Here is a 14,255-nt window from a genome sequence, read left to right as displayed (position 1 = left end):
AGTTCCAAATTTTCTACATCTCTCTGTTTCCTGTGGAGCCCTCCAAACTCTTCCAACTTCTGCCTGTTACCCAGTTCCAGAGTCACTTCCACATTTTTGATATCTTTACAGCAGCACTCCATTCTCTGTGGTACCAGTTTACTTTATTAGTCTATTCTCACACTGCTAATAAAGAAATAGGTGAGGCTAGATAATTTATAAAGAAAAAGAGATTTAATGGACTTACAGTTCCACATGGCTGGGGAGGCCTCCTAGTCATGGCGGAATGCAAAGGGGGAGCAAAGGCCTCTCTTACATGGTGGCAGGCAAGAGAGCATGTGCAGGGGAACTGCCCTTTATAAAACCATCAGATCTCTTGAGATTTATTTTCTATCATGAGAACAGCATGAAAAAACCCCACTGCTATGATTCAATTACTTCCCATGACATGCGGGGATTACAGGAACTACAATTCAAGATGAGGTTTGGGTGAGGACACAGACACACCATATCACTAACTTTGTTATTTAAGAATTCAAATAATTATTCATGAAAGTTCTTCTTTAAAAAAGATGGGAATGGATTCTGATTACTCAAGAAATGGTGAATGTGCTGAGTGTTTTAATTCTAGTTCAGTTTCTACTCCAAGCAAGACTGAGTAGACCCTATGCTAAATTCCTAGAGTCAAACACACTTCACCCCTAAAATGATTGTGTAGCAAGGAAATACAATCTAGCTTCATACGAAGACAGCATATTTTTCTATAATGAGTTTTACAGTATTCACTAAGCTACATTAACCCTGGGATTATTGTGTTAGAAAAACATTATTCTCCTCCTTCTTTCTACTGGATACATATCAATATCACTTCATGGCTGTATATGAATCATCCAGAAAAAATGAACACCTTGAATGATCCTGTAATGTAATTGTTCTGATACACAGTTTAATTTGGGATTGAAGTTCTAGTTCATCACAACATACTATAGGGGAGAAAACACAGCATTAAGTGTTCCAAATCCATAAGTAGAGATGAATATTTTTATGAGTATTACATTTTAAGAAGAAAAAAAATGAAACTAATCAAATGTCCTTGGATATATCCCTACACCATGGGATGTTAACAATATAATTGGATACTCAGTAGAAACAGGAGGTAGAAGTTGAACAATGAAAAAAAAATGGTTACAACTTTCAACCTTGAGACTCCTGAAATATTTTATTTTTGACCCTTTTTTGGGTCTTAGAGTATTCTTGCTGAGTATTGTGAATCATAGTTATCACTGATCACAGTTTCTGTTGAAACACTTTCAGTACACCTTAAGAAGTTGGAAGAGAAATTCAGCTCTCTTTCACTTTTATGGCTGTTTAGAAATGATGTTCTAGTATGTCCAAAATGAAGAAAATGATATTAATTTGATATATGATTTTCATGATAGGCAAACCTGTTCACTAGGAAGCAAAGGTGGATTTGAGGATATATTTCAGTGACAGAACGAAAACTATGATTCTCTACTAGCAGCATTCTTCACTTAAGTATTTTAACTCTTGTGATCTTTAGAAGTACAGAATAATGAAATATATCCACTCCTGTAATTCTTACATTCTATAATTATGAATACTTCTGTCACTTAGATTATCTGCATTATAAAGACAGAGATCTATGAGTAAAATTTTAAAACATGTTTATATAAAGACCCCGAAAATCATGGTGTTGTTAGAAGATTAGTGGTTATCAGTCTTTTAACAATTTTTTTTAATTGGAAGAGAACTTGGCATTGATCTTAGAAAAATTTGGATGCATGCATGCCTCTGGTTTACAGGTGGAGGCTCTAACAGGAAACATGTCTGGGGGCATGGATGGAGATCCCAGTAGGCAATGCCAGTGAGTGGCTTTTGAAAACTTTGTCACAGGAACCCATATTCTCACAGTAAGAACCATGCTCAAAGTCCTGGTGAGTCACTCTCAAGTGTTTTCCCTAGCCACAGGAGCAAAGACCTTAGAGAAGAGCACCTCTAAAGTCAACAAGAGAAATGGTAAATTATATACATCACATGGAAGAGGAGATGGCTATGAGAGGAGAAGGCAAAGAAAAAAGCCCTGGGCACTTTGGAGATAATTGGGTTAGACTTAGATGTTCCACACTAACAGGTGCAATCAAAATTGAAAACATACTATGTGTACTTCTGGTATATGAACCCATTTTAAACTTCATCTTGGTATTATCTTGACGCATTACAAAGCCATTAAATTACCATTTTGTCTTATAAGAGCTTATTAAAGTTTTTTTTTTTATCAGGGAGCAATCTATACATCTTCACATCTTTCTTAACAACCATCCCAGAACTTGGCACAGACTTTCAATAAACAAAATTTCTAACCACAATTGTAGTGCATTAAGAAATTGGTAATGATTACTATTATTTTAATATTATTCAATCTTAAGTTTGTAACTTTTTATCAGAGGTGAATCAGTTAATTTTCAAATCTTCAAATTTCACATATTTTATAATTGGAAGATTTAAATAAATTTTCCAAGGCCACAGTTAAGCATTTTGGAGAGTCTATAATCCTTGTGGTTAGCACTGTGCTCTTTGGTTACACTCCACAAAATAAAGCTACTTCTAAATTGGTTTTCATCTCATGGTGTCTTCAGGTTTAGAGTGCCTGGGACTTGGAAAAATTATTATTTATCTTACATTCTGACGGCATGTTGCTGCCATTCTTGTGATTTACTATGGAACGGAGAAAACATTGCCAACCAAGCATGTCAAAGCCACATCTCATTGTACATTCCATTTGCTCTTCAGAGCATTGCTCCTAGTGTACATGTACGTGCACAATTTCCATTGTAGCAATAAAATAAAATAAGCCAAGTTTCCTCCTTTACCTATTGAAGGTCTTTAAATGCACAGCCTTCTGGGATAAGTCAAATGCTTCCCTGGACATTCAGATTGCAAGCAGTCTTTGGATTACATGATCTTCAGATATCAATGAGAAAATTAAGGAACACAAAATAAGAAATGATTTCTTATGCTTTATGCTCACTGTCTTTCAAGGCTCCAGATTCATCTGTCTGTCTTGAGAGTTGTATTACATTTTGATTCCTGGGGAGGCTTTCTCCATTGAAATGCTTAGGAGAGTTACCACTAGCAGTATTGTGTCCAAACTGTGTGTTTTGCAAGTATAACTTTAGGGTAGGAGTTTTCCATTACTGTATTTTTTTTAAGTTTTACCTTATCAATTATTCTTGTGTGGCAAAGCAATTCCCTTGATGCAGAATTTATCTTGAAAACAATATTCCAGATCAGAAAAGGATGAACTTTTAGAAGGTTTATTTTCAACAAATACTCTGTTCTGATCTCAGATGTCTGTTACTGATTATGAACAAAAGTATATTTGATATATTTATAGGTATTTCTTCAGGGTATTTGGAGCATTCAAAAGGCTTTTATGTAAAAGGACAGAGAGCAAATCTTGCAGTCACCATGGCTTCATTTTACGCTCGGTAGTCGTGATTCAGTGTACGGTATTGCTTCTCCTTTTACTATTTTATTGCTGTGTGACTGAGAATATTATGCATTAGCACTTAGCAGGGAAATTTAAAGAGTGTTATTCTATTTATTTTAAGTGTCATATAATTATGAATTGATTTACTAGCCATTGTAATGCTACAAATGATAATTAATTTATTTGCATAATATGTAGTTTCATAGACGTTCAATTATAATAAAGCATTTGCTAAATGTACCATGAAAATTGTGTTTCCAGAGAGAGTGAGAGTCTGAGGCTGGAATCTTTTTAGCCTGTCAGTATGTGGTCGCCATCACTGGCAATCCGTTCCTTTCAGGATGGGAGGGAGGTTTACTTAGTCCCATAGTTCACCCCTTTACATATTTTTCTCATTTTAAAATATGATATTCAGAGTCATTGAGATAGGCTAAAAATAATAGCGTATTAATAAAAACAATAAAATTGAAATGAAGGATATTGATGTGGTTAACATCTTAAATCCCTTGAGTCAAAACTGGGTTGGAAATATTTAATTACTCACCACGTTGCCTGAACAATGAGTTAGAAGGGTCCAGTCGTGGACTTTCTACTCTTGTCAGTTTCCCATGGCTCAGGGGTTCCCCCAGTCAAATAGGAGATAGAGGAAAGGAGAATGGACAGACTATAAATCCCCATTGTTTGGGAGCATGGGTACAACACCAGGCAAGGGTTCTAGGTTCCCAGAAAATAATTCTAAACAGGTGACACAAAAAGCCAGAATGTCTTGGCCCAAAGTGTTCCGGGTATTCCCCCACTAACAGTGATGCTTTTCTCATACTTGCCTATGAAAGAAGAGGTTGCCAAGGGGAAGGATTTTTCTCCCCTGGATTACGGTGCATCTTGCATGTCCAGCAGAATAGTCTGTCCCAGCCTGATTGCAGGAGGGAGGCTGCAGAACCAGTGCTTCTCTTCTTTTGCAGACAAAGTTTTGTGTTTCCTTTCCCAAAAAAGTCTGTTCCTCTAACCAGACAATGTGATGGTTTTGAATTGTCCTTAACTGTGATACAAAATTGTGGCACAAATAGAAGACAGTTTTTACAACAGTAGTGACTTCTAAGATAACTATTTAATATAATTCATTTATTATGCTTATTGTCTGTTTCTATCTTTTGCAATCAGAACTCCATGTGGGCAAGAATCTTTTAGTAGTATTTCATAAGTGTGGTATATTGTCTTTTTATATTCATTCATCTAAAAGTGTTCCTTAACTTTCCTAGTGATTTTCTCTTTGATTAATTGGTTAGTTAGGAATTTGTTGCTTAATTTCCACAATTTTTTGACTTGTCCAAATTCGTCTCTGATATTGATTTCTTATCTCTTTCCATTTTGGTCAAAGAACATACTCTGTATTATTTCAATTATTTTAAATATACTCAGGCTTATTTCATGGGATCATATATGGCCTATCTTCCATAATGTTTCTTGTGCACTTGGGAATTCATGTATTCTGCTGCTGTTGTATGGAGAGTTTTGTAGAGGTCTCTTAAGTCTAGTTAGTTTATACTGTTATTCAAGCTGATGATCTTCTGGCTAGGTGTTCTATCTATTTTACATATGGGATATTGACATCTCCAATTATTATTGTTGAATAGATTTTTCTCCCTGAAATTCTGGCAGATATTGCTGTGTGTATTTGTAAGCTCTGTTGTGAGGTCTATATATGTTATAATTGTTATATATTCTTGATTGATTGACACTTTTTTCATTAAGAAATGTCTCTTTTTCTCTAGTAATATTTCTTGTCTTAAAGTTTCTTTGTCTGTTATTATCATAGCTAGTCCAGCTCTCTTTGTTTGCTGTTTGCTTGATATGTAGTTCCCATTGTTTTACAGTCAGATCAGCTTTTTAAAAAATCTTCTAATCTCTCCTTTTTGAATAAAATATTTAATTCATTTCTATTTAAAGTAATGATTAATAAAGTAGGATTTATATCTTTCATTTTGCTATTTGTTGTCTTATACATTTTGCTTTTCTGTATTCCTTTTTATTTTTCTTAAGTAGTTTTTAGTGTACCATTTAATTTCTTTGTTGTTTCTTTTGCTCTATTTAAAAAATTATTTTCTTGGCAATTGCCCAGAAGATTGCAATTAATACCTAGTTTATATCAATCTCATTTGGACTAAAAAAGACTATATGTGTATATAATTTTTTTCTCTATAATTCCCTCTTCTTCTGATTTAAAAGATAATTACAGAAGGCAACAGTTATAAATCTGTGTTGACAGGCGCATAATTTATATAGCTGTGATTAGTAACAATAATAATATAAAGGAAGCAGAGAAGAGAGCTATATAGGAGCTACGGTGCTTGGGGCATGCGTTCAGCGCTCCAGCAAGCAGTGATAATTCTGCCATAGCTTTCACTTCCTGCTTGCGCAGCTTTTGAGGTCAGCCAGTGTTGGGATCTTAGGGCCTTCTTAGGTCTTTCCTCAGCATACATTGCTCTGCCTATGTACATGGCCTTCTAGATTCCCAACTAGGTTTCAGAGCTTTAGAAGGGACCTTATGGATATCTCAATCTCTGGTGAATTTTCACAGTTTTTACTAATGTTTATTTTATGATACAGATTTTTCTACATCTTTACTCCACCATTCTAGCTGACATCTTCTGACAATCAATATTCTAACTTTTAACTAAAAGACTGTGTACCACATAATTGCTTAGGCAAATAGTGAATTTCTCCCCCTTTCTCTCATTGAGTGGCAAAGTAACTAGAATGACAATCTCTTATAGTTCAACTAGGATATATAGTAGAGATATATATGTATAGTAGGATATATAGGATATATATAGCACGATATATAGGACATATAGTAGGTCTTGACATCTAAGCCCAAAGTAAAGGATGATTATGCATACATGGGTTTTTTCAGGGGCTTTCCTGTGAATTAATATAGAATCTACATTTTGATTAGTCTTAAAGCTCCTTCATGTGCCCATTTATTGCAACTGGTTTGTTTAAAGCTCAGAGTTTTTAAGCTAATTTATTACAAGAGCTAATTTGCACACATAATGACCCTGAATTTGATGTATGGCTGTTTCATATGTATCTTTTAAAGAAAATTTCCCATTTGTGAGAAATGCTTTGACTCTGAGTAGCTGAATTCTGCAGGTATCAGCAGAGGTTTATTTATTCGCTGTAAATGAGATTTTCTCAGTTAAATCCTCAGTGTCCTCAGTAACAACTCCATCAGTCTGTTGGAATGGAACTCTAGTCAATGAGTTAGAAATATATTTTAGATGTATTTTCATCAAGAACATATTGTGATGTTACCTTAAAGATCATTTAGCCTGATCTGCATTCTGGAAACAATGTTGTGTTACAGAAGGGTAACAATGCTCACGCTGCCTAATTTGTTTTGACTTGTCACCATTAGCTTTATATTGTGATGGGCAACTATGCCATAGGAATTTATGAAGTTGGACTTCATTTCCCCAGCAGTAGATCTCTACTAAGTTAACTGGAATGAAGTTAATTTCCTCTAACAGAGATGCTGGGGACACTTAAAAATATGTAGTTAAGCTGGCATGCTTAATAGCAGCTCATATTCTGCATTATAGTGGAAACTAAGAAATTGGTTCATTACCGATGAAAACATTTATTGACTATATACTGCTTTTGTAAATGATGAAAAGCCTATATTGACTACAGGGCTGCAGTTAACCTACATATATGCCTTATCTGGCAACATAGTAAATATGGCAATAAACTTGGGGCAGCACAGAATGAAGATTAAGAGTAAAGTAACCATATATCCTGATTTGCCTGGAATGATCTCAACTTCCACCTATAGTCCACCATAATTATGAATAGGGCCTCCTTTAACATCCCAGATTATCTCAGTTTGGATGATAAATTATATATCATCTTGGTTAAAAGCAGTCTCTGACACCAGACTTTGTAGGTCATAATGCATGCTCTTTTATTTTCTAGCTGTGTGAAAGAGTAATTTGATTGGTCTATGCTTCAGTGTCCTAATCTATGAAATGGGTGTGGTAATAACGTTTACCTAGTAGGGTTGCAAAAATTAAATATATATAAAGCTCCTGGCACACTGTTTGTCACTCAGCACATGTCATATATCTAAGATAGACTATCTTGCACCACATGCAATAAAAACAATTTCTAGTCTATGTTCATTACAAGGATTTCAATTTCTCCATGAGATTCATTCATTCCAAATGAATTTTTTTCAGGAGAATAAAGACAGAGGAGAAAACAACACCAACAAAATACTATAAAATATAATGAGTAAATTTAGTAAGGAAAGTGGAATGTGTTGTTGAGAGCAATACTGAACTATATCTTCCCCTCCTGGATAGCAACACTATATTAAAAATTAAAGCAATGTACCAATACCCTTTTTAATAATTTACAACTTGACATCCACCTGGATTTGGTGCTATCAAAGGCTATTTCAAATTCGCCATAATACTATCGGAAAACCTTAGAAAATGAACCGCTCTGTTTCTTTACTTGGAAACCTCTTTGTGTTACAGTTACGCCTTCTGGTCCCTGGAGTACACAATTTGCATTCTACTGATTATAGCCTCGCTATTGTACTTAAAGCTTCCCCCTTTGGGTAAATGTAAATCTCTGTGTGTTCCATTCCTTGCAGGTAGCTGTTCATTTTAAAAGAAAATACGAAAACAGCCTTTTACCTAAAATACACACACTTGGAATAGTTAACACAAGATTTGGAGGAATGGAGTACAAGAGTCTTATTGCCTTGCCTGATCATAAGTGAAACAATACCAAATCGTATTTTTTATTACCTTTTGTTGGAGAGGTTTTTCCTGATTCTTATATTCAGCTCACATTCTAAGGCTACAGAAGTGCCTGAAACAAGGCTTCAGTAACTTCTTTCTCTAATATATCAATGCCAGTCAAGGATATGGCAGCACACAACAGCAAAACCAGCTCTGAATTGCAAACTGACATTATGATTTTGTCCTGTTAGAAGTAAAGAGGGAGTTCACTATTTTCTTTCAAGACAGGGTTGATATACCCATTCAGTGAGAGGTGATTTTTAACATAAAGTAGTAGGCAGAACTCTACTAACTCACCTTGGCTAAAAATTTATATATGTTATGGACATTAATGCTAACTCATGAGAAATGGAAGAGACAAACTGAAAACAGCTTCCTTGACTTCTTTTCCCAGTAAGACTTAAATACGGTGTAAAAACTAAAAGTTTATCTGTTGTAGTCTTTATGAGTCCAGAGGAAACTGACTATACAAAAATAGCAAAGCTGGCTGCAACTGGCCTCACCAAAGGCATGTGTGGTGGATGGGACTTGAGGTGATGGATAGCCTCACTGCAAGGCCTCAGGCTTTGGATAAATGGTGTCAGAGAGAGCTATGTTTGAAAGTTCTGTCATTTCCCAAAATGCATGGTGCTGGGCTCTACTCTATACTTTCCAATGGTAGCAATAGTGACCATTGCCAAGCAGTCTATGTATTAAGGAAAGATGTGTAATAAAGGTATCTAGCCTACTGCTTCCTAAATCAACTGCTGTTTGAAAAGAACATTACCTCAAAAAGAGACAATACTCTTCCATGTCCCCAAGAGGTCTTGTCAAAGCAATTAAGACATTTATTTGTGACTTAAACATATCTGCTAGATATCTTGGGATGATAATGGACACTGGGCAAATAGGGGACTCTTTAAAGATGTCCCCTATTTAAAGATGGACAACTTTAAATGCCTCATATGAGATAATGGTATTTTTACTTTTTCCACTAATGAACTGGCTACCTGGGCCATTTGAATTATGCAATGGGATGTGACATTCATGGTACATTGGAGAAGCAGACATAATAGTCAACAGCAGCGAGAAAAGGAACTTGGAAAAAATGGACCATGTTTACTTGCTCTGTACAACCTGCAGAGACAAAAAGTGGTGGTTGCAGGAAAACAGGTTTTATTTCCTCTTTCAGTTAAATCATAATGGATTAATTATAAAAATAGTGTGGTATTATGAATGAAAATATGACCCATGGATTTAGAATTTCCAGGTTTGCATCCAGATCTCCACCTTTATCAATTTTGTGATCTTAGGCAAATTACTTCACTTCTTTGTATCTCAAGTTTCTTACCTAGAAAATGAGAATAATCCCAACTACACAGAAGTGTGAACATTTAGTCTTGAGTATTACAGTAGATAATTCATGTAAACCACTTAGAAAAGTACTGGAAACCTTATAAAATCTCAAAAAATAGGTTATATTATTGTGACTGAGCTAGGTATAGAGTATGTACCACCAAATATACCTTGAGATTTATCTGTCAATATGTAGAGAGGCACAACATCTTTATGTCAGTGCTCCAATTTTCATCTCCTTATATCAGGAAGGCCACTATTCTCCAGTAATGTCGATATCTGTGCTAGAGAATACTGAGAGATGACATATATATTAATAGCTGTAAAACTGTATCTCCACGGGTTCTCTCAGTAGGGGATGGGTTGTTAGCACTCTCTGTGGGGTTCTACTACCTTAAGCCTAAGCCTGTTGTCCCTGCCCATCACTACCTGCCCTTCCTAGGCTCCTGAACTGAATCTTTCTTTAGTTTCCTAGGAGGGATCATCACTTGGCCAGTTTTTTCTAAGAGTAGTCTGACAGCATAGCTGTTAAATCTTACTATTATAGTTCATTCCTTCATTGCACAAGGTTCTTCCTCCCAGAGGCCACATGCCAAGGGCAAGATAAATGTAGCCCAGACTAATAAAGTACTTGGAACCCCTGCTGCCTCTGACAGGTAGGCTTTGTCAATCTGTCTGGCTCTCTGCATCACACTTTTTTTTGTTTTTCACTTCAGTCCTAAGGACTCCTATGTATTTTCCTTCAGCTGGCTCTTTTGGGGTCCTTTAGTCCATCAGACTAGACTGTACAACTCAGAAAAATATTTATGGAATAGATTCATAGTTTTTCTAACTGATCTCCTAGGACCCTGGCATCTACTTCAGCATCCTTTACCATTTCTTGATGTTGAGAAGTAGCCTGAAGTTTCTGGCAGTTAGGAAATTAGTCTGCCTAGAGTACACAGAAAACTTAAGGGATTACCTAACTGCAGTTTTCTGACTGACCTTTGGCTCAGGCAAAATATTTTGTTATATAGAGGATTCAAGATGCAAAAATAATGTGTTCCATGAATTTTCTCACAAGTGTATATGTGCAGGTTTTATGTGTTGTCTAAAGTGGCTAGAGAGAACTGATAGGGCCAGTGTCCTGAAAGCCAGCCATTTATGGCTGAATGTGTGTTGTTTCCTGTGCACACAGGCAGTCTAAAGAGAGATGGAAGGAAGGTAGAGGTGAGCACATTCTCTAATGGACTGTAAGATCAAAATATAGGTGGCCATTAGAAGTGAGGACTCAACTTCTTACAGGAGAACTAGTAAGAGGAAGAAATGGTAAATCTATGTGAACAGGCAACTGCCAGGAGATGTGGAATATCCCTTTATGTTCCTTTCTATCAGTAGAGACACTTTTGTGCATAGACATGCAGTGGTAACACTGAACATGTGGATGCAAGACATATGCATGTTTATGTGTCACATTTGTATGAACATATATAGTTCATTGAAATTAAGAAATGTTTAAGTGAGAATAGTATGTCAGTTACATTTTTCATCTTTTCCCTCTTGAAAATACAGTTTACCCATTTCAGTGTCTTACCCAAAGGATTAGCCATTATTGAAAACTGTTTCAATAATATCAGTTGAGTGGTTGACATTCTTAAATTACTAAATATATTGTTTATATTAGAATTAAAGAAATTTGAGAGGCTCATAAGAAGCCTGAGAAATAGGATAATTATTTTTTTCATGAATTAATGTTAATTAGTGCAAAAAGGATGTTATTATTATTGCCATCAACAATTTTAAGAGTGTGACAATTCAGCATTTGTCATTATTATTTTTAAAATAATGCTATATGAATGTTATTAGCAAAAGTAAATCTTGAATTTTCTCAAGGATTTCTCAGATATAACTTAATCGCTATAGGATATCTGGCTGATCATGTGGCACACACACTAAAATGAGTAAAATATACGTGCTTTGTGTGTATGTATGTATATTAAGATGTTTTGAAATCTTAAAAACTCTTTCTGTCTAGGGAGAGACTGCCTTTCCCAGGAGAGAGAGCCAGTTCTTAGTTATAGCAAGGGCCCAGCCAGGAACATGCTTTTGATATGCAAATTAATCAATCCAGAGTCACACCTTCTCTGTCTGACCCTTACACTCCAAGAGGCAATATTCCTTTGCCTTCATCAAGGCAGTGCCAGGCTCCAGACAAACAGTAACCACCACTGTAGTGCAGAGCCTGCAGAAACTATTCAAACTAGCCAAGCCTAACCTGTTCACCCTGCCCTGCCTGGACTTTCTTGCAGAAACCCCCGTAAAGGCTCTTCCCTAAACATGCCGCTCACTCCAGTCCTTTGCCTCCTGACCACACAGATGCTTTCCCATGTGACTGTGGATGGCATGATCTGCCTCCTATCTCTAGGACCTGTATTATAAATTTTGTTTTCCTGAACCTCTCCTCTGGCTTATCTTCTGGCTGCACCAGACTGACCATCTCTATAACAAAATTCAAAACAAGGTTAGAACCAGAATAAATGTAGAGACTATTTAATTCGATTTTCTTACTTTATAGGAAACAGGCTGAGGAAGAATAAGAGACTTGCTTGAGGTAAGCCTGTGAGATTGTATATTCCTCCCTCATTCCAAAAAGGAATTCACTCAGTAGGAGTTAATAAAAGAGCCGGAATGTTCTGATTCATGGTCATATACTTCACACTAAAGTTTCTATTTGTCTTCATTGCTTCCAGAAGTGACCCATTTTAAAGATTAACAAAACTGAAGATTGCCTCTAGAAAGAAAATAATTATCTCTGCAAAATCAGGCCAGGTATAATTTCTACCTGGTAATAATGCCTGGGTATTTCTGCTCTGCTAAACTGTGTATCTAGGGAAATTAGATGTGATCAGTTCCTCCCTTGATTATAGGTTTTTTGTTTGTTCGTTTCTATGAGGTTGATTAGTAGCGATAATTAAATTACCAGTCAATCATCACAGGGGAGATTGGGGTCTAGTTATTCTGTTGTAATTTTACTTTTTCTCATTCTCACTATATCTTTAAGGACTAATGGTATGAAAGCATTTATTTTTATATTATTCTACTGAAGGTGAACTTCATTGTTAAAAACAGTTATTCAGTCAATCACCATTTTTTATGTACTACTATATGCTTGTTTCAAAGTTATCTTTGATATGATATTTCCCTCTCTTGCTTTTCATGTCCAGAATCTAAATACTCATGAGGCTGTTTTTGGGAAACTCTTTTTGATAAATTTCTTGTCTGCTTCTACTATCACTATTCTGCACCAGTCATTTATTTTTTCTTACAATTACTTTATTCCAGATTTCTTTATCTGATTCCCAGGTATTCACAGACTTACTAAATCTGAATATTCAGGAATTGGGCCTGGTGATCCTTTTCTGAAAACATCTTCATGTTATTTTTACATGGCCTATTTAAGTAAAGGCATTTAATTTTTAAAATTGGCTTTTAAAAGAATGCGATTTGTTTTTGTTTTTGTTTTTTACTTCAAGATTTGCCCAACACTAATTCATTCTTTACTTTCTGTCAGTAATACTGGGAAAATCTCCGATGGCTGTAAACTCTTATTTACTGTGCTTTTTCTTATCCAGGAAATTTAGAATGCCCCCAAAATAGATGATCGAATACAAATTCCTTAGGTAAAAATTTTCAGTTCTTAGTAACATCAAATCTCCTTTTTCATCCAGGCATCTGTCCCACTGCTCTCCAGCAGAAGCTTTTACTGTACTCATATTTACCTCACCTATTTCCTCAATCTGCTGTCCCTAATGTAGCTACTTACCTCTGCCGCCTTTCATCTCTTCGCACTTAATTTGTGTGCGTATATTGTTTTTCAAGATGTCAATCATATTTTATCTTTTAAAGACAGAAATCGTGTTTTATGCTTCATTCTCAACACAATGTAATGGTCCAGTAAATCCCGTATTAAATGGTATTAAGTATGCTCATGGTCAAAAGTGTGTGGACATGTCAAAAGTGTGTGAATGTGACTAATTGATGAGTTATTTTATAGTATGTTCAATATTTCTCAAACACTAATTTAATTATATGTATATGTATTTATATATTTGGCTTGCTACTCATTAAATCTGTTTTGGGCTTATCAGCAGACAATTGATTAAATCAGTGCTAATTATATAATGTAATATGCAATTTATTGTAAGTATGAACAGTTGCTAAATAAAATTTAAAAAGGTATGCCATCATTCTAACAAGGATGAAGATAGAAATCCTGTGTTTACTGTTTCCTTTAATACTATGCAGCCATAAAAAATGACGAGTTCATGTCCTTTGTAGGGACGTGGATGAAGCTGGAAACCATCATTCTCAGCAAACTATCACAAGGACAAAAAAACCAAACACCACATGTTCTCACTCATAGGTGGGAATTGAACAATGAGAACACATGGACACAGGAAGGGGAACATCACACACCTGTTGTGGGGTGGGGGGAGGGGGGAGGGACAGCATTAGGAGATATACCTAATGCTAAATGATGAGTTAATGGGTGCAGCACACCAACATGGCACATGTATACATATGTAACAAACCTGCACGTTGTGCACATGTACCCTAAAACTTAAAGTATAATAATAAAA

The 14,255-nt window shown here is 35.6% G+C and overlaps 1 long non-coding RNA gene across 3 annotated transcripts in view; it reads left to right on the top strand.

Annotated features, from left to right (window-relative positions):
* LOC105369165 (uncharacterized) overlaps nt 1-14,255 on the top strand; it is a 486,292-nt gene that overhangs the window by 464,000 nt on the left and 8,037 nt on the right. The window contains exon 5 of one of the 3 annotated variants that reach the window (NR_187748.1): nt 12,191-12,226. The exons of the other annotated variants lie outside the window; for them this stretch is intronic. This is a non-coding gene — a long non-coding RNA (uncharacterized LOC105369165). The remainder of the gene's footprint in view (nt 1-12,190; nt 12,227-14,255) is intronic. 3 annotated transcript variants of the gene reach the window in all.

This window comes from Homo sapiens, chromosome 2 (assembly GCF_000001405.40).
Source record: "Homo sapiens chromosome 2, GRCh38.p14 Primary Assembly".
Taxonomy (NCBI): domain Eukaryota; kingdom Metazoa; phylum Chordata; class Mammalia; order Primates; family Hominidae; genus Homo; species Homo sapiens.
The sequence above is the reverse complement of the archived record's forward strand: the minus strand, read 5'-3'. Positions and strand labels throughout refer to the sequence as shown.